The sequence below is a fragment of the Homo sapiens genome, chromosome 4 (genome assembly GCF_000001405.40).
Source record: "Homo sapiens chromosome 4, GRCh38.p14 Primary Assembly".
NCBI classification, from domain to species: Eukaryota; Metazoa; Chordata; class Mammalia; order Primates; family Hominidae; genus Homo; species Homo sapiens.
Window position 1 is genome coordinate 118305758 of NC_000004.12, and position 22021 is coordinate 118327778.

Consider the following 22021-nt stretch of genomic DNA (forward strand, 5'->3'; position numbering starts at 1 on the left):
TTCATCTTGCATGACAGGAACTTTATACCCATTGAAAAATAATTTCCCATTTTCTTCTCCTCCCAACCCCTGATAACCACCATTCTATTTCTGCTTCCATAAGTTTGACTATTTTCGATATCTCATATAAGTGGAATCATGTAGTATTTGTCTTTCAGTAACTGTATATATATATACACATACATACCACATTTTCTTCATCCATTCATTTAGGCTGTTTCCACATCTTGGCTATTGCAAATAATGCTGCAATGAACATGGGAGTGCAGATATTTCTTTGACATCCTAATTTCAATTATTTTGGCCATATACCCAGAAATGGGATATCTAGATCATATGGTAGTTCTACTTTTAACTTTTTGAGGAACTGTTTTCCATACTGTTTCCATATTACTTTCCACAGTGGCTGTACCATTCTACATTCCCACCAACAGTGTGCATAAGGGTTTCAGTTTCTCCACATCCTCACCAACACTTGTTATCCTTTGTTGTTTTGACCATAGCCATTCTAACATGAGGCTAAATTCACTTTTGAGTTAAATGTTAAATGGACTAAATGATTGTGTTAGGCCATTCTTCCATTGCCATAAAGAAATACCTGTGACTAGGTAATTGATAAAGAAAAGAGGTTTAATTGGCTCATAGTTCTACAGGCTTTACAGGAAGCATGGGGCTGGCATCTGCTTGGCTTCTGCTGATGCCCAGGGAGTTTTCAATCATGGCAGAAGGTGAAGGGGGAACAGGCAAGTCACACAGCAACAGTAGCAGCAGAAAGCGGGGTGGGAGGGTGCCACACACTTTTAAACAACCAGATCTCATGTGAACTCAGGGCATGAGCTCATTTATCAGCAAGGGATGGCCTAAGCCATTCATGAGGGATCTGCCCCCATGATCCAAACACCTCCTACCAGATCCCACCTCCAATATTATGGATTACATCTCAACATGAGATTTGGGTGGGGACAAATATCCAAACTATATCAATGATGATAAATAAAAAGTAATGAACAATTTAGAAAGAAATCCAAGTAATAACACACGACTACATGTGTGTTGATGATGCTTGATGAATATGCCTAGAAAATTTTTCTCTCCTTAAACTTAGCTGAGACACACAATTTGAAGGTCAACTTTGGTGCCAATCTTCCCCTTTGTATTTCCAAAGGTAATACTAGGTTTCCTGGATCACTTCCACCAAGACAATAAAATTAAAATATGGCCAAGAAACCAGTCTCAAAGAGCAATATCTTTTAATGGCTGATTTTGGGTGAGGAAATGTACTGGGAATGTAATGCAAGAACAAGAATAATTTTTTTTTCAAATGGAAAAAGGAGTGATAGAAACACAGTGAGCAAAAGAAGTTTAAAATTAACCACTGACCAAATTCACTTTCACATCTAATGTAGACTCTCCCTACTTTACTGCCCCATATTTTGAAAATTGAAAATTTATATCACAAATGAAGGATTAATTGGCTGTAGGACAACTGGAATTGCAACTGGGTCCAAAACTGAGCCATAAATTGAAGTAGTATCGAGTAACCAGAAACAACTTTGATTTTGAAGTTTACCCCCAACATGTGAACTTTTATTAAAACAGAAATGCTTTTTAAAATAAACATGTATTCTTTATAGAAAATAACCATATGAAGTGTTCAATATTTAAAATGAACACAGATATATAATTAAGGATATATTTTTAAATCCAAATTACTATTAGTAATCTACTCTGAGCTAGGCAATTTATATACATATTATCTTAAATTTATAACCCTCTGAATTGTAACATTTTCCATATTTTTGTTACTTCAAAATCATTACTTAGGGTGCTTTCACAGTCATTCATGACATATGCAGAGCCAGTAAAATTTTAAATTACCCAGCTGAGGTCTAACCAACAGGAGATGATCTGCCTTCTTTTTTGCTCCTCTCACACTGTAAACAAGTGTCCTTTTCACATTCTATTTAGTGCCATGTTCTTATTGTAACTCACGCCTGAGGGAAGCTTATCTAATGCATGCATTTTCTCTCTAAGTCACACCACAACCTTTCTGCACTTAGGAACACTACACAGCACTTCGGTACTATAAATGGGGGCCATTTTAAACAGTGAAGTCATCAGCAAAGCAAGCACAGAAATGCAAAAAAAAAAAAATTGGCACCACACAGACTGTAAAAGAGGACAACTGTTAACAAGTATGAAAGCTGAAACAAGAAGGGAGAGCAGTGACCTCAGCTCTAGGAGCAATGGCTCAGCATTTGCTAATTCAGTGTCCACAGTGACTTTATAACTATCAAGAAAAATGAGAACCAACAGTAATTTCAATAACTCTAGAGTCCCTTAAAAGGCTACAGTGTTGAAACATCAATCACAGAGAAAAGGTTAACTGACAGAAGCTGATACAAGCTGTATTATGACTAGTCAGAGTTATTAGACTATTTTGTTATTAGATAAAAAGCTACATTTCTTGTGTGACATAATATTTTCTGTGAGTAGAAAAATGTGAATAGGCTCTACTTATTACTTCTTTATAATTCTGGATCAAATCAATATGCTGCCAGTATTTTCAAATGAATGACAGAAGCTCATTTTAAGTAAAAAGTAACTCATTAGATTAAGCATTTAAAAATTCAGATATGCTCATCAGTAACCATCCCAAATAATTAGGTTTTCCTTACTTGTAGCCAAGCTGACGACAGATCACAGCTGCATCCTTATCAGTCCATCCATCATCACAGATTGTTCCCCACTGGCCATTGATAAAAACCTCCACTCGTCCTTCTTTCTTATTTTCTCCATCCATCAGTCTGACAGGAAAACCTAAGTCATGATTCAAAAGTATTAGAACAGCCCAAACATGCAAACTGATTCTAAAGCATGAGCGACTCTACAAAACACAATTGTTCTTTTTAATCAGCTATAAAATCAGATGGGAAATACTTTTTTGAGAGAGAGGAGATATATCAATAAAAATTTTATCCACTTTTGTATGTCTCTTGCAGCCTTGAATTCAAAGTGCTCACCTTGCTCAACCTTGTATCCCCAGACTGTGGAACAGTGCCTGGCATACAGAGGATATGCAATTGCTGTTTGTTGAATGAATGAACAGCATTATAAAACTGTGAATTATTTTATTACACCTTACTTCTAAATAGTAAAAGAACATTAACTTGAGGTTGTTTCTGCTTCATGTCTGTTCATTTATCCATGAACAGAGAGCTAGAAGTTTATACACCAAAGACAAGATTTTTAGAACGATATAAATAGACACAATCTTGGCATTCATAGTTGGGTAACTTGATTCAAGTCTAATGCTGGAGGAGGCAAAAAAAAGAAAAGAAAAAGAAAAAAAAAAGCAGTAAATAGGGACAGTTACCATCTAAGGCTTTCTATTGATTTTAAGGGAAAGAATTAAGTCACAAAAATTACTGAGTTAAAAGTTGAGAAACTGAACTCTAGCAAATTAAGATTTATCTAAGTTAATACAAATGAAGGGATTTGTAAAGTGTCACATATCACCACACCAATAATTATGATTTTGAATCGAAACTCCTCACTGTGACTTGCATGGGTTGAATTGTGAGGTCATTAGGGTGAGCCCTAATCAAATACGTTGGTATTCCCATAAAATTGAGAAATTTAGACATGAAGAGGATGATGTGAAGAGACACAGGGAGAGGACTGCCATATACAAGCTAAGGAGAGAGGCCTGGAGCATCTCTCTCTCTCACACAGCCCTTCCCTCACAGTTCTTTCTGAAGGAACCAACCCTACTGACATTTGATTGTGGACTCCAACCCCCAAAACTGTGAAACAATAAACATCTGTGTTTAAGTCACCTCTGTGGAACTTTGTTATAGCAACCCAAGCAAGCTAACACTCACACATCTGATTACCTAGTTACTAGAAGGGTCTCCAGCTTCAGGGCCAAGATTTGCTGTTAAGGATTTAGGGAATACAATAAAGCATGGTAAACTTATTAGCAGAACTAGGGAGGTAGAAGTCTGCAGGTAATGGACAATATATTATTTAATATATGTTTAAACCAATATGTGAAGTTACTAAATCAACATTGGTTAACTAAAAGAAAATATTGTTAGCAAGATGGACACACTCTATTTTTATTCTTCTGACCCATTTTTTACTTCTCCATCCTTCTGTGTTGCCCCAAGAGTTGTTGGCTCCCCAGTCTCTATCCCTAATCATGTTCACTTCATGGGACAAGGCAGTATAGCGGAATCACAGAGCAAAATCAAACTCAACAAATGTTTATGGCGTGCCAACTCTATGTATGCACTGCTTACTATCAGCTGGATAAAAACTTGGAGTTTTAGCTGTGTCATAAAACACAATATTGAAACTTCATATTTCTCATTAATACATCTGAAATTTGGGAGTTCTTTGCAAGAACAGAAAGTGAAAAAGTGATCCTCAGATACCAAAATCAAACAAATGAAATTCTTTTATTAAAGTTTTCACTTTTTATATTTTTGGATATTTGGTTCAAAATTAAGAAAACATTTGCACATGAAATTAGATCTACATGTTCCATTCTGGTAGTTTTACAGGCACATTTTCATATACTCTGAAAATAAAAATGATAAAGTGTTTTTAAAGTATAACTTGCATGGCTTTGTAAAAATAATGCATACAATATTTCTGAACCTAATTTTAGCCATTCATTCTACAAAATCATTAAATTCCTAATTCTTGAAGGGAAACTGGATGACAAAAGTCATGCCATCCATACGTTGTCACTATTAAGTTTGTGTTGTTACAGAAATAATAATACATAGCATGTTTTATTTCCAAAATCTTAAATATATAAAGTTTTTGGAAAAGCTAAACAATCATATTGGTATACAGTTATCTTTAATATATATCTCAAGCTTTCAGTAGTTTTCTTTGATTTTTCCTGTAACATAATACATTATTTTTATAAAATACTACTGTCTTTTAGAAAAAAGATAAATTCTAACATGCATACATACACAGCAAAAGCCTAATTTTAGGCCAGGCTCAGTGGCTCACACCTGTAATCCCAGCACTTTGGGAGGCCAAGGCAGGCAGATCACCTGAGGTCAGGAGTTTGGGGCCAGCCTGGCCAACATGGCAAAACTCCATCTGTACTAAAAATACAAATATTAGCTGGGTGTGGTGGCAGGCACCTGTAATCCCAGATACTTGGGAGGCTGAGGCAGGAGAATTGCTTGAATCCGGGAGGTGGAGGTTGCAGTGAGCCGAGATTGCGCCACTGCACTCCAGCCTGGGTGACAGAGTGAGACTCTGTCTCAATTAATTAATTAATTAATTAATTAAATTAAGCCTAATTTTATACTGTAAAATTGAGTAAGAGGCAACAACCTCACTGGGAAAGAAATCTTTGCCAGGACTTAATACTCTGAACTTTAGAATTAATGTAATATTAAAACGAGAAATCCATATTTTTACCATCCCAGAAATTTCTGCCAACTCACATAACTGTATTCTTACTAGAATTACTTTTACTAATCTAGAATACTGCTTTTGAGCATTTCACCTACCACAGACCCAAAAGAGTGTCTACAGGGCTATAACTAATTTTGAGAAGTTTCCCTTGACATATAAAGTTAAGGTCCAGAAATTAGCCTTCAAATAGCTGAAAACAGCAGTAGTCCAAGAGCTCATCATTGCAGTGCCAAAGAAGTAAAAAATCTCCATTGTTTCCTAAATGCTGTTATTTATATTGTTATCCTGTTATCTCCTCCTCTAAGCTTCCCTTTTAAATATATAGTAGTTTTTAATAGGTGGAAGTAATGATCTATGAATGAACAAATAGTAATATGATTCTATCCCAAAAGGATATTTGGCTCAGATATAATGTTCTTCAGACAAATGACTTTAGTTAATAGACACATTACTGAGATTAGAACCAAAGAGATTCATAATAGTGATCATATATTTTATTAATAATTATCACCCTCAGGTTTTTAAATTTTTTAAAAATACATCTAGAGTCCTAGAATTAAAAAGATTTTCAAGGGAACAGAAAAGATTAGTTATTCCAACCATATGATGTGTTTAACAACACAGGCCTACAGAGAACTCAGGTCACATAGTATTTCATCACTGGGAGCTCACAGAGCATATCTGCGTAGATCATCCCATGATTCCAACACCTGCTATCTGGGGCTGAGAGAATCCATCTCCAGCAAACAAATTCTATCTCCCTCAACCACATCCACCACATAATCCTGGGAGGATCACAAATCTTTCAAAAGAAGGGGCAAGGGAAAAGGAGAACAAAATGAAAAGAAAGAAAAATGGAAATATGGCCTGCAAGAGATGGAATAAAAACATGTATTTCAACTTGGTATAATGCTAGATTAATGCAGTGTCACCAAGCTCTCACAGTGTACAGTACAATGAGGAATCAGCCACAGACTCTGACAAATTTAAAGTATGTAATATGGTTAATACTCTGAGGTTCAAAAAGTTGTTACTTTATAACATGAAGATTTCAGCTTCACAGTCTCCAAACAGGAGAATACAAAGGAGTTGATTCAATCCAAGGTTAAAAGTAAAGACCACCTAAGGCTATTTTAACATCTATTCATACACATACACACACACACACACGCACACACATACACATACACACAGATAGATATATAATAAAGCTGTGATAGCATACAACAAAGTATTTTGAATATTTCCCTCTGTATTTTTCATTCATATATATTCTGCCCTCCTCATCAGACATTAAGAAATTTATCAAGAATGTTTAACTGCTATCTACTCTCAAGAGGATCTTTATCTATAATTATTTCAATACAGTTAGAGGAGCTAGTTACCTTTTATCCAAAAAGTCTAAAAAAATGTAAATGAAGAGTAACAGAGGTCCCTGATGGGTTTCTAAAATAACAAGTTACACTAGAAAGATGGGTGAGCTATTAACTTTAATTAATCCACTTAGAAGACCACTGAGACACTTAAAAGAGCAATGGATGGTTGGTGACCAACGAACGACAAGGCTTCAGGACTAGAGAAGAAATGAACCATGAGACAGGGAGAGGAGAATATTCTTATTTTAAATCCTATCCCAAATAGCTCACTAGAATTCAAGGTAAATGAAAATCAGAATAAGTGACCGAGGAGTAAGGGGAATAGATACTGCAGCTTCTTTATTCCATTTTTCAGATACAGATGATTGTAAACATTGTTAGTGAGGAACTTAATTTTCTAAGTAAAGAAAAACAATTTAGGGGTAGAAATTTCATAATGTTGGCGCACAGACTCAAAAGATTATTTTTCTCTGCATAAAAATTACTGAAAATTAGACAGTTATGGGAAATAGACCCCAAAAAAAGCCAAAGATGAGAAACACTTCATATTCAAGGCCAGTGGTTAGAGGTGCAATGGCTACTGAATGATGGAAACTTGAGAGCTGCAGCCAGTCCTCACCCAGAGAGAGCCTGTGTCCCTCGCCGCCAGGGTAGCAGGCAATGCTAACATCTTCGCGGTGGCTGCAGTCATGCCTTCCCCACTGTCGCCTGGAACACTGAAGAAATCTGGTTTCCTTTCCTGAGCAGCTGACGTCATCCAACCATATGGGCCCTGTGCTTTCTTCAAAATGGTTGGCAGATGCTTGTTTACCATATCTGTGACAATTGAATAAACACTGTGTATAGAACTTCTGTCTCTTGGTTCAGGGAACCACAAAACATTTAACACAAGCAACTTAGTTCAGTGACATGACTTCAGAGGATAAGTATCTGTTCTTTCTCCTACCTTGGGGACGCAGTTTAGAGCTATGTTCGCCCAGCCCATCACATGTTTTAATCACCTTAAAAATGTTCGATTATTTCAACGAATAACAAATGAAAAATTAATACTTTTTCCCCATTCATTCTTGTGTTTTGTCTACAAAACCAATCAGAGAGAATGCAAAGAGATCAATCTCAAATTCCTGACCATAGAAATTGTGACCAGAAAGTGAGAACACTTTTCTCATTTTGCTTCTGATGCTCCCTCTGAACTCATTTGATTTCAGCAGCTTCTCTTTGGTCTTCTTTCAAAATAAAAAGTGTGGATTAGTTCAGTGATTGCTCAAGCACTATACCTAATCCATGATTAAATTTAGATTTCAGCCCATCAAAATCAGAATTATAATATTCTTAGCTTTTCATAAGGTATACAAATTCAACTTTAAAATGTTTATCAATTATATTTGTGTTCCAATTGAGTGTATTTGTAACACTGCACTACAGAAACAAAACCTAAACGTATAATAAATATATATGCTGCAGAAATAGGAGAGATCTGAAAAATTTTTTAAATTAGAAATTAAGTCAATCTGCACCTTCTTTCATCCTCCCAATTTTATTTCCTTTTGTTCCATAAAATCCAAACCTCCAGAAATCACGGAGCTTAAAAATCTTTAAGACACCTTTCAGTTCTAACAGCCTACAAGATTCAACTCTTACTCATATAATAATTCCCTTACTTGATGTTTTTATTATTTCTGTACTAAGAATATGAAGAGATCTTTCTATCTGACATGAATTTTCTTCTTTTTTTATGCAAGTATTTATTAAATTTATTTGACAAAATGAATATTTTAATAAATTAAAACAATGAAAATTTTAATCATTCTATGGCTTCTCTTCCTTCTATTTTGCTGACTAATCAACCCTTGGCTAGAAAAGTAATAAGCCTAAATCGTATATTGCTCACTTTTAACTTATAGACCATTTTTTCACGAAATACATTAGATTATCATCTGTCCATAGCAACTACACAACAGATAACAGGAAGTCATTTTACTTTGGAATTGCATTTGTACAAAAAAACCCAAAGTTTACTTTTTCTCATTACAAAAGAATATTCTTTTTCAAAAATTCCTTTGTAAACTAGAAGCAAATGTAACACATGCTTTGACTACCTTCTAACACAATCATTTAGAGCTTTTTACACACATTATTGAGAACATTTTTAAAATAAATGTGAATACTCTGTGCATAGATTTGTGAAACAAAATAAAATATGAAGAAAAAAATCAGTGTTGTTTTCATTAATAAAAAAATATGAAAAATAGAAATAACAGGATTTATGAATCTCTCTAAATGTGAAAATAAATAGAAATGACATGATTTTATGAATCTCTCTAAATCTGTGAAAACAGAGTATAGTTGGCAGTCTGAGATTCACTTAAATATAAAGTGATATTTATTAACTAATTCTTATCAATTGTCAGCATATTGTATTTATTTGGCTGTCATATCATACCCTTTTACACAAAAATTACAGTAACTTCTCTGCCCAAGAAAAGACAAAATGGGGGAAATTATATGAATATTGTGTTTTCATGATAGCATTACTTATCACAGGAAAAATTAAGCTGACCTAATATTAAGTAAATTACAGTATGAAAATTCTGTGGATATTGTTTTCATTAAAAATTGTGAGTATGTAGCAATATAAGGTTAAAAATGTGGATAAAAATTACATGTCCATTACTAGAGCTGATATGAAGTTATCTACCCAAATTATAATGATAGCATAAGGATAAAAAATTATGGAGTTTTTTATTTTCATCATTTTCCAATGGTTTTACATTACTTTTATAAATTTTAAAATATATGTTTAACATGGCTTTGCCTAGCTTGAATGAAGCTATGTTTTTAAAGTGTAGTGAATATCTTCAGTCAGCTCTAATCAAGCTAAAATGAAACAATTTTGCCAGTTTTTTTAAGCATAAGACAATTACTTCAAGCATGACAGAGAAATATGGAAAACAAGAAAGAATAGGCATTCATAGCTTTCATTCAAATATTTAACTCAAAAGCATCATTTGCAGTTACTTCGACCAACTTAAGTCTTTACTCTGGAATGCATTATGTGTGTGACATAAAATACATGTCCCAAAGTGTGATACTCAGCTTTTAAGAGAGTGAGGTCAAAAGCAAGTTCTAAAGGTCATCTCCTAACAAGAGGGCTGTTTTTCTCAAATAAAAGTGATAATTATCATCACATTCTGAGAAAGGGAATAATGTAATACCAAAGCATTTGACACTAGACTTCTCTGCAATTTTAGACAATGATGTCAAAACTAAAAACATCCAATAGTAATGACGTGTCAGAATAAAAATGAGCATTCAAAGTCTTACTTGAATAGACACAAGGGGACTTAGAGGTCACCCCTGGCTTCAACTAATTATTCAAGAAGAGGGGTCATGGCAGGAAAGGTAAATGAAATAAACAGCAAGAGGTGGTTATTCATCATCTTAGAAAATGTCATTATTTTTCATTGTTGTACTTCCATACACAGGTAGGAGAGAACAGGTATTTTTATTATTATAAAAATTACAAGTAGGGATTAACATAATAAGACTTTTAACAATATAATCTGGCATTTAACTGCCTTTATAATTAATGAACCTTACTTAAATCCCAATTGTCGACAAACCACGTATGTATTCAGCTCAGTCCAGCCATCATCACAGACAGTTCCCCACTGGCCTCTGTAATATACCTCCAAGCGACCCTCATGGCTGCCTTTCCCACCTGCAAGTCTGATGACCCCATCTGTGATAAAGAGGAGACACAGAGACTAAGCAAATCAACTTTCAAAAAAAGGCAAAACAACATTTGTATTTCACAAGAAATATCACCATATTCAGGCCTCACTCTAGGCCTTTTGCTAAACTTACATTACATCTGTGCTAAATGACCCTCTGAGGTTATCATGTTGTTTCTGAAGTTTGACGTAACACATTTCTGTCCTAATAAAATATTCTTTCCAGCTGGGTGTGGTGGCTCACTCCTGTAATCCCAGCATTTCGGGAGGCTGAGGCAGGTGGATCACCTGAGGTCAGGAGTTCGAGATCAGCCTGGCCAACATGGTGAAACCCTGTCTCTACTAAAAATACAAAAATTAGCTGAGCATGGTGGCGCATGCCTGTAATCCCAGCTACTTGGGAGGCTGAGGCGGGAAAATCGCTTCAGCCCAGGAGGCAGAGGTTACAGTGAGCTGAAATCGCACCACTGCCCTCCAGTCTGGGCAACAAAGCGAGACTCCGTCTCACGGAAAAAAAAAAAAATATATATATATATATATATCTTTCCTTTTTATTGGTACCCCTATTCTCTATGTAGAAAAATATATCCTGATATAATTCCAAAGTATCTATTTAGACTTCTCTAGATTAAACAACATTTGGGAAATTTCATATAACTTTAGTCTCAAGTCAGAGCAATACATGTCATTTAAATTTAAAAAGAAAATACAGTAACTTGGAAATAGCTCAGAATTTTAACTGCAAATGAAAAAAATACTGAAATAGGATGACAGAAAAAAACTATTCTGGATAAAAGACAGTCTGTCATGTCAATGCATATATTATTTGTTAGGCATTCATGAATTATAAAAACTGGAAGATATGTCTCGCCTTTGTTCTTTTATTGATAATACAGATCTGAATTTGAATCTTATTAACTCAAATAATAATTAATTTGCCTATAATTCTATAAAGAGCTTCTAAGCAGATAAACAGTATAATAAATTTAATTCCAAAAAAAGTAGATTTAAAAGCCATTTCCAACCAAAATAATCCAAAAACTCTCAATGAAACATATAAATAATCTTGGGTAAGGGTCATACTTTTCATAAATCTCAGGGATCTTTTAAAGTAAAGGTCTCTGAGCAACAAACCTTTTATTAATATAATATTTTACTGTCTGCAAAGCATTATGACATGCATTATCTCATCTGAGCATCACAGCAATGTTACAAGACTATCCTCATTTGAAGGAGGGGAAAATGGCAGTTCAAGAAAATGAAGTGCTCTGGCTAAAAATCTGGCGTAAATACATTTCTATGGTGTATTAATGTGTTAATCTGCTAATAAAAACAACTGCATGTATAGAAGTATGTGAAGAGAATGATATAAATCTGGTATTTCATAGATTCTAACAAGTTATTGATTTTCACTAAAGAAATATGTAAACAAAACATTTTTTTCTTCAAGTTCTTTTTACTAAATGGTTTCTGATGAGTCAGTTTCTCTTGCCTTTTCCATTTCCTTCTTCTTCTCCCTAAACATGTAAGTACATACACGCACACCAGTTTGTACTCACATATGCCCTTCTTACAACACATGACACATTTTGACAGGCATGCTGTCATTTGGAATAGTCTGAAAATTGTGCATAGCAAAGTTAACTTGGTTTCTTTCACAGTGTGCTTTAATCAACAATTGCATCAATACCAGCTCTAAACACATTCTGAGTCAAGAAACGTTAATAGATGAATGGACTAAAGATGGAATTATTACACCTAATATCTGGAATGTATCACTGCACACTGATTTTGACTATTGGGTACTATATACTGCAACAAAGTCCTATTTTCTGATCTAGCTTTACAAGACTATATAGCCTTAAATTGAAAAATTCAGGAATAACTATGAATAAAAAGATGGTACTTTAATATACGGTTTGCATTCTTTTTGTTTGTTTTATTTGGTGTATTTATTTGTATGCTCATTTGGTAATGTTGAAATTAAGGAGAAGGGAAGCTGTGGCAGGCCGACATGGTACTGGGGGCAAGAACTGGTACACTAATGGAGTGAAATCCTTACCTGTTAGAGGGGTACAGGACACTCCAGCATCTTCTTTATGGCCACAGTTATGCTCTCCCCAGGAGCTCTTTGGACACTGCTCAATTGAAAGCTCATTCCCAGTGCAGCGTACTTCATCCAACATAACTGGGCCAGACCCTTCCCCAAAATATGCCTGATGCCATGCTTTGGCAATGCCACTGAACAAATAAAAGAATGTAAGGATTCTGGATTAGATACCAAAGATTGGTCTTTTATTTTTTTTTTGTCCCTAGTAAAAGCATTATTATTAATCCCCACTTATTAATTCACTTCACAGGTCATGCATGACTTTCTGTATTTCTTTTTTGTATATTTGTTTGTTGTCCTTTATATTTTCAGCCATTACCCATGTTTCAAAGTTAGGTACTGCCCAATATTTAACCTCCTTTTCTTCATTAGTAATGGAACTTCAGATTTTTAGGAGGACAATGGCTATCCAAAATTAAAATCACATTTTGGCCTCCCCTCCTTCTTGATGACTAAGTTTGTTTGTTTGTGGTAAAATAAACATAACATAAAGTTTACCATTTAAAACATTTTTGGTTTATAGTGCATTAAGCACCTTCACATTATTGTACAATATCACTACCATCCATCTCCAGAACTTTTTCATCATCCCCAAATAAAATTGTGCTCCTATTTTAGACGCCTAAGTTTTGTTTTTCTTTTTGTTATGTTTGAGTCATAGTCTCACTCTGTCACCCAGGCTGGAGTGGTGTGGCATGACCATAGCTTACTGCAACCTTTAACTCCTAGGCTTGAGCAATCCTCTCACCACAGACTTTTGAGTTGCTAGGAATACAGGTATATGCCACCACACCTGGCTAATTTTCTTTTTATTTTTTATTTTGAAGTGGTGGGGTTTCAGTATGTTACCCAGGCTGGTCTTGAAATCCTGGCCTCAAGCAATCTTCCTGCTTCAGCCTCCAAAAGTGCTGGGATTCCAGGTGTGAACCACCGCACCCTGCCATAAGTTCTGACCAGTGATATTTAGGTGGAAGTACCATGTATTACTTGTAGGAAGTATCTTCCTTCTCCTGACTGCAAGGATGGCTGGAGCCTAATAAGTTATCTTGGGCCATAGGGTCCCATACTAAGGATGACAGAAATGCAAACAAGAGAGATTCGGGGCCTTAATAATTGCGGAACCACCAAACTACTCTTGAGCTGGCTACCTCTAGTCTCTTTTCCTAAACATAAAATACACTCGACTCTAAACTTGTTTAAACTGCTGTTATTTTCAGTTCTTTGTTACTCACAGCCAAATCTACTTCTTTTTTAATGTTGTTGTTATTTTGAGACAGGGTCTCACTCTGTTGCCCAGGCTGGAGTGCAGCAGCGTGATCATGGCTTAAGGCAGTCTTGACCTCCTGGGCTCCAGTGATCCTCCCACCTCAGCCTCCTCAGTATCTGGGACTATAAGTGCATACCACCGTGCCAGTGAATGTTTTATTTTTTGTAGAGATGGAGTCTCATTATGTTGCCCAGCCTGGTCTTGAACTCCTGCACTCAAGCAATCTTCCCACCTCAACCTCCCAAAAGTGCTGGGATTACAAGTACGAGCCACCATGCCTGACAGCCAAGTCTATTTCTAACAAAAACATCTCTTTACTGAAGTTTATTTGTAGTTAATTTACTTCTCCCACAATTCAAAGCAATAGCATATTCTTAGAACCCCAGATTTAAGTGAAGATCACAAACCTGTCAAAGTGATTAATAATTTCAGATATTGCATTTTCAGTCCCTTTTAGGCTTTTAATTTTTAGACTATAGCATTTATATTTTTAGTTTGTTTTTCAATGATACTGCATCTACTCCCCCATTATTTTAGCTGCTCTTTTCTTATAACATTATAACTTGAGAATTTACAACAAAAATATATTGAAGAAAAAAAAGTGTGCTAAATGGCTGTAATACCCCACTAATGGTAAAGTCTTAGATACCAATTTTGCGGCTAAAAAGGAGCCTGATTCACTATTTCTACTAGATAACATGGAAGTTTCTTTTAAAAGAACATGCCTAAGAAAACAAAAATATCTAAAAGTTAACACCTATTTTAATATCATTAGAGGGCCAGACACAGTGGCTCACGCCTGTAATCCCAGCACTTTGGGAAGCCAAGGTGGGTGGACTACTTGAGCTCAGGAGTTTGAGATCAACCTGGGCAACAGGGCAAAACCCCATCTGTACAAAAACATACAAAAATTAGCCAGGTGTGGTGGCACACACCTGTGGTCCCAGCTACTCGGGAGGCCAAGGTGGGAGGATTGCTGGAACCCAGGAAGTCAAGGCTGCAATGACCCGTGATCATGCCACTGCACTCCAGCCTGGGTGACACAGAGAAATCCTGTCTCAAAATAATAATAATAATAACAACAATATCATTAAAGCAAATGCTTAGGGAATGCTCCGTCATCACCTGACTCACTTTGAGTTTAAAATTCAAAGAGTGTGCCAAACTCAAAATTTGAGTTTAAAATTCAAGAGGAAGGATAAAAGAATATTATAGGAGGTATAGAGGAAGCTGAGGAAAAGAAGATGGCTTAAGCAAAATATTTTCATGGAGTTAACATTTTAAAATTTAGAATCCTGGCACTATCTGATACTTGTAACACAGTGGACTCTGAGCAATCTGCCCCAACAAAAATTAAAGACTAATATCTAGAACTAATAGGACAAATGTGAGGAAAACATTTGGAATTCTAACACATATAATATTGGAGTCCTAACACAAAGGAATCCTAACACAAATGATATTGTCAAAATGACAATTTTGTGAGTGAATTTGTTTGTTTTGCTAAGGGAAATGTAATGACAAAACAGAAAGTCATGTCTACTCTGGAAAGAGTCAATAAATGCTTAATTAATAGGATTGTTCTAAATAAAGTTTTCAGCTGTTTCAAAGTATGTCTATATGCCTAGAGAAGAGTGCACTAATCATGTATAAATATTTGTATATTACTGACCATGTCAAAAAGCTTATTTTTTCCAAGCTCAATCTTTGAAGTGGAGAAGTATATGTGGACACAGACTCTCAGCTTCCAATCTGGGCTGTACCTTCAACAAGCTGGGCTACCTTGGGGAAGTTACTAAAACCTTCCAGGCTTAGGATGCAAAGCTGAACACAGGGATGATAACGGCTAACTTGCAGGGTTGTAGGAATTAAACTGATGCAAAGTAGGAGCTCAATAAATGCTGGTTCCCTTCCCTCTTCTGGCACGTTAAGGAATCCCCACGTACCCCTGACAGTTGATAAATAACATATTTTTCACTGCTAAGCCATTTATCTAAAGACCATTTGGTATTTAGTTTAAACAAACACCAAGGTTGTTACTTTCCTTCATCCCCAAAAAGTAAAGTTGGGGGAATGGTAAGGAAGGGAGAATCAATCAATATCTTAACATTTTCTGGTTTTAATGTTGTTTCATTTATTTATTTATTTTAAAGTAAATTTCAAAGAAATATTTATGGAAGTAATTTATGGCCTATAGGAGACTGAACAAATGCATGTATGTGTTATTTTTTATTATAGATTATAAGGTAACGGCCCAGAAGACTATTAAGTAAGCTCTGACCTGCATCACTAAACTTCAGATTTTCCTGTGGTAGAGATATATCTAATGAGAGGCAAACATTTTCAAATATTTGAATGCACATAAAGTATTTTATTTAAAAAGGCTGTTGTGCCAAAATAAAACGTTTTGTGCAATGAAAGCACTGATGTTCCTAGAAAAATATGTTTTAAATCAAAATGATCTTGCAATAGTAGTGTACAAGGCTATGAAAAAAATTCAACTGTTTTAAAGATTACTTATAGTAGAAAAAATATCCTCTCCCAGAGAAAACATGTTCATAAAACACTTACTATAGGCTGGGCGCCGTGGCTCACAGCTGTAATCCCCACACTTTGGGAGGCCGAGGCAGGTGGATCACCTGAGGTCAGGAATTTGAGACCAGGCTGATCAATGTAGTGAAACCCTATCTCTACTAAAAATACAAAAATTAGCTAGGCATGGTGGTGTCTGTAATCCCTGCTACTTGGGAGGCTGCGGCAGGAGAATCACTCAAACCTTGGAGGTGGAGGTTGCAGTGAGCTGAGATTGCGCCACTGCACTCCAGCCTGCCTGGGTGACACAGCGAGACTCCATCTTAAAAAAAAAAAAAAAATTACAATAAATTAAACAAGGGAACAGTTTAACACTCACAGAAAATAAAATTCAAAAGTCATGTAAAAGCTGTAATTCCCACAATTTGGGGATGGAGGCTGAGTTACTGAAATGTATTATTTGTAATATGTTTATGAAAATACTAATATTGGTTGAAAGAAGAAAACTGCTTGGAGTTGTGTGCCTGAGACCTGTGGTTCCTTTTTACAGGGAAGATACAGGATAGGAGAGAAGAAGCCCTATGCCCTAGAGGAGAGGTCAGCAAAATATGACCTGTGCACCAAATCAGGTATGCTATCTGTTTTTATATTGCTTGTGAGCCGAGTGGTTTTTCAATTTTATAAACGCCAGGAAAAAAAAATCAAAATAAGAATATAATTTGTGATGTGAAAAATCAAGTGAGATCCAAATTTTACTGTCCAGAAACCAAGTTTTATTGGAATGATGCCACACGAATTCCTAAGTTATTGTCTATGGCTGCTTTCATGCTACAATGGCCCAGCTGGGTAGTTGCAAAGTCTATTTACTCTCTGGCCCTTTACAGAAAAAGTTTGCAGACCCCTGCTCTAGAGGAAAGAGATTAATGAAAGCAAATATGGAAACTGACTTAGAGAACACTGAGAGTTGAAGGACAAAACAGGAGGAGACAGGATCACTGACAGAGAAGCCAGATAGGAAAGCTCTAGAGAAAGGCAGATTAACAGCCTTCTTGGATCTTTGCCCTGAGATAAATGCCACCAAAAAAAATCTATTAAGGAAAATTTCAATGGGTATAATTCATTGAGCCATGATTAGGTGCTATAAGGAAACCTGAGACCAATACGGAAGAATATAAAATTTGATCCCAAAGTGATAACAAAAAGATGAAATCCAGATGGCTTAAATATAGGTGGAAAAAAAAGAAAAGAAAGAAAGGCGGGAGGGAGAAAGAAGCAAAAGGAAAAAGGAAGAGAGGAGGAGGGAGGGAGGGAAGGAAGAAAGAAAAGAAAACTAAAAAGTTACTAGACTAAAATATAGGAACATAGTTTTTATAACCTTGGATGTAAGAGAGAATTCCTAGGAAACCCAGAAGTCAGAAAACAAAAACCAAAAAAGTTAAATTCAACCACATACAAATTGAAAACTACCATACAGCAGAACACACCATAATCAGAGTCAAAATGCAAACCAATAGGCTGGAAGAAACATTTGCAATTTGCAAAAAAAAACTCCTAGAAATGAATAATAGTAATAACTTGTTTTTTATATATATATATACACACACACACATGCACACACATTTCAGTTACAGTTTACTTATATAAATATGTGTGTGTGTGTGTATATATATCTAGATAGATAGATAATTTTTTAAAGACAGCATCTGGTTCTGTCACTAAGGCTGGATTCCAGTGGGACAATCTTGGGTCACTGCAAACTCTGCCTCCCAGGCTCAAGCCATCCTCCCACCTCAGCCTCCCCAGTAGCTGAGACTACAGGCACATGCCACCATGCCTGGCTAATTTTTAAAATTTTTGCAAAGATAGGGTTTCTCCATGTTGCCCAGTCTGGTCTCAAACTCCTGAACTCAAGCAATCTGCCCACCTCAGCCTCTCAAAGTGCTAGGATATTATCACATTTTAGTAAAAGACAAAGCAATCAACTTAAAAAAATAGACAATAGAGAGGATCCAACTATGCACAGAAGAAGTAATATCCATGGCCAATGACCACAGGATAAGAAGCTCAAGATCACTAGTGGTAAAATTAAACAATAATGCATGCTTACCTATCACATTTTTGGAGATTTAAAATATTAATATAACTTTCATACAATTTTTAGGCAAAAAGACAAGCAACTGAAGGCTTTTTAATTCCCTAGAAAAAGTAACAAATCCTAAAGTCATGCTTTGGCTGAGAATACTCTGATAGGCTGAGAAAGGGGAGCTGAAGTATATTGTGTTTCAAATACATTAATTATTACATGACACACATTCAAGGAAAAAGCAAAAGTTCTGGTTAATTGCCTTTGAACTTGGCCCGTTCCTTAAAGGAGATTACAAGATAAGAGAGTACAAGCCCCAAACATTGACTCTGGGGATGCTATGTATTTTTAAATCCTCTCTGAAAACACCACTTGGTGCAAAGGACATGGTTTCATTCTTTTGTTTTGTTTTTGCTTTTGTTTTTTGAAGACAGAGTCTCTGTCGCACAGGCTGGAGTGCAGTGGCACAATCTCAGCTCACTGCAATCTCTGCCTCCCGGGTTCAAGCGATTCTCCTGCCTCAACCTCCTGAGTAGCTGGGATTACAGGCGCCCACCACCACACCCACTAATTTTTGAATTTTTAGTAGAGACAGGTTTCACCATGTTGGTCAGGCTGGTCTCGAACTCCTGACATTGTGATCCACCCGCCTCAGCCTCCCAAAGGATTACAGGCGTGAGCCACCACGCCCAGCCCAGTTTCATTCTTTTTCATGGCTACATGGTATCCTATGGTATACACATGCCAATATCTCTTTATCTAATCCACCATTGATGAGCAGCAACATGGACAAAGCTGGAAGCCACAATCCTAAGTGAATTAACACAGGAACAGAAAACCAAGTACCACATGTTCTCATTTATAAGTGGGAGCTAAATATTGAACACACATGGACATAAATGTGAGAGCAACAGACACTGCAGGCTACTGCGGGATGAGAGACGTAGGTTGAAAAACTACCTATGGGTACTATGCTCATTACATGGGTCCAATATACCCATGAAAAGCTGAAAATTAAAAAAAAAAAAAAAACACTACCTGGGTGTTTTATTTTCTTCTCATCCATTTCTGTATGTTTATTATTTTAATGATACAAAAATGTTTAAAATAAACTAATCAGAATAACCAGCAGAATAAACTTGAGAACAACAACAAAAAACATTAACCAGGAAACTATAATGTAACACAAAATCAGGTTTTCTGGCTAACTTTTTAGTTTAAGTTAAGAAAACAGTATTTACATATTCACACATTGCTTCAGCCAGTCACTAGCATTTCCTGGTACTCAGAACTATGCTGGCTTTCAAGAGAATACCAAAATAATTGATGACTCTGCTTTTAAAGAGTCATGAATTACAATACTGAGGAAATCAACAAAAACTCGTGAACTGTTCAAGTAAATGTGAATTTGATAAAGCTGTGTGTTCTCTGTCCTTCATGGAAATTATTTCCATACCAGCCCCAGCAGTTCATCTGTAATAAAAGCTCTAGTGTTGTCTAGTTTTTTACCCTCTGATAATCTGTAAATAAATTTTTGGGCAGAGATACTCTGATCTAATACCCTGAATTATTTTCTGTGTAAAGATATTTGACCTACATAACAGCAATCCTCAATAAACACTTACTGAACTGGTTCTATTTCCAATCCCTATTCAAAACATTCTTAAATCTAAATTTAGCTAATCAAATTGTATTAATACAAAATTTTTGCTTTTGTTTCCCCCTTACATACACAGAAAAAGGCCAAATAAATGGCACCATCTGATTAACTCAATCCCCAGGATTAGCTACTGCTTTGAGGTAGACCTAGAATAGAGTTAGGCCATTCTATTGTACAACATAATTATTTATTAGGTTATAAAAGATTGGCTCTTTAACTGCAATTATCAGTTTGTGCCATATACAGAGTTTGTAATCCATGGATGAAAAAACTCATTTTTAATATCCTAGATTACTCTCTAGAAAACAATCCCCGCCATCTCCAATAATGATGTTTGATGTGTATCAAATGCTTCCTGCATGCCTGGCACTGGTCTAACAGTGCTTTTAGACATACTAACTAATTTCTTCCTCCCTGCAACCGAATGATGCTATTATACCAAATTTACTGATAAGGAAACAGAGGCTCAAAAGTTAAATAACTTGTCCAACATTACACTACTACTAAATGGTAAAGTTTGTCTGACTACAGAGCAGACCGAAACACTGAGCATTCTTGCAGCCTCCTGGAACGCTGTCAATTGATGGCTGATGGCACCTCAAATACAGTCTATCTAAAACACGGTCACTATCATTTTCTTCTTAAATTTAACTTTCTCTCTTGACTTCCTTATTTCTTTCAGCCCTATATTTGTATTTATTCTTATTAACACCTCGCCATTTTACAAATAATGTAACATAACAGAAAAAATCCTAAATTGGGAGCCATAAACCTCAAGACTCTGCCTCCCACTAACAGACTTGGGGAATATTGTGTAATCTCAGTGGGCCTAACTTCCTCAACTGTTAAACAAGTTATCTTTCCTGCTCAATAATTCCATATACCAGGCTATCTTTGTTGTAAAGTTTATACCAGGGGTGTCCAATCTTTTGGCTTCCCTGGGCCACATTGGAAGAAGAAGACTTATCTTGGGCCACACATAAAATAGACTAACACTAACAATAGCTGATGATCTAAAATAAATAAACAAATAAATAAATAATGTTGTAAGAAAGTTTACAAATTTGTGTTGGGCCACATTCAAAGCCGTCTTGGGCTGCATATGGCCTGCGGGCTGTGGGTTGGACAAGCTTGGTTTATACAATGTTTTTTAAAATTTAATGAACCGTAAAATAAAAGAGCAAAGAAAAAAAATTTTTTTTTTTGAAACAGGGTCTTACTCTGTCACCCACGCTGGAGTGCAGTGGTGCAACTGCAACTCCCTGTAGCTTCAACCTCCTGGACTAACAATTCTCCCACCTCAGCCTCTGAGTAGCTGGGACCACCAGTGCGTGCCACCACAACCAGCTAATTTTTTTTTTCTTGTAGAGATGGGAGTCTCACTATGTTGCCAAGGCTGGTTTGGAACTACTGGGCTCAAGCAGTCCTCCCACTTCAGCCCCACAAAGTGTTGGGATTATAGGCGTGAGACACCATGCCTGGCAAAAAACAATTTTTAAAGAGTAATTTATATGGGAAGAATTTGTATTCTACTACTCAATAATATGGTTCTATATAATTTTAGAGCAAAAAAGTAAAAATGAAAGCACCCTAAAAGGAAAGAAAGTATCCACAATTTTTAAATTCCCAAGTAAATTATGGCACATCCACAAAATAAAATATGATCTCACAGTACAAAGCTATGCTTTTAAGAGTTTTTGAAAGACATGGAAAGTGCTTTTAATGTTAAGCACATAAAAAGGAACTTCAGTTAAAATGTCTCCAACTAAACTTCACTGGGTACATATGCGTTCTCAAGTTATCTAATTTTC

General features: G+C 35.8%; 1 protein-coding gene across 4 annotated transcripts in view; it reads right to left on the reverse strand.

Moving 5' to 3' along the window:
* PRSS12 (serine protease 12) overlaps positions 1-22021 on the reverse strand; it is a 72966-nt gene that overhangs the window by 25720 nt on the left and 25225 nt on the right. For 3 of the 4 annotated variants that reach the window (NM_001440549.1, NM_003619.4, NM_001440550.1), the window contains exons 5-8: positions 12621-12799; positions 10425-10566; positions 7444-7640; positions 2679-2820 (exon numbers count right to left, since the gene is read on the reverse strand). In NM_001440549.1, coding sequence (NP_001427478.1) covers positions 2679-2820; positions 7444-7640; positions 10425-10566; positions 12621-12799 — 660 coding nt within the window. Of the gene's footprint in view, positions 1-187; positions 247-2678; positions 2821-7443; positions 7641-10424; positions 10567-12620; positions 12800-22021 lie in introns of all 4 variants that reach the window. The other variant, NM_001440551.1, reaches the window with a different exon arrangement.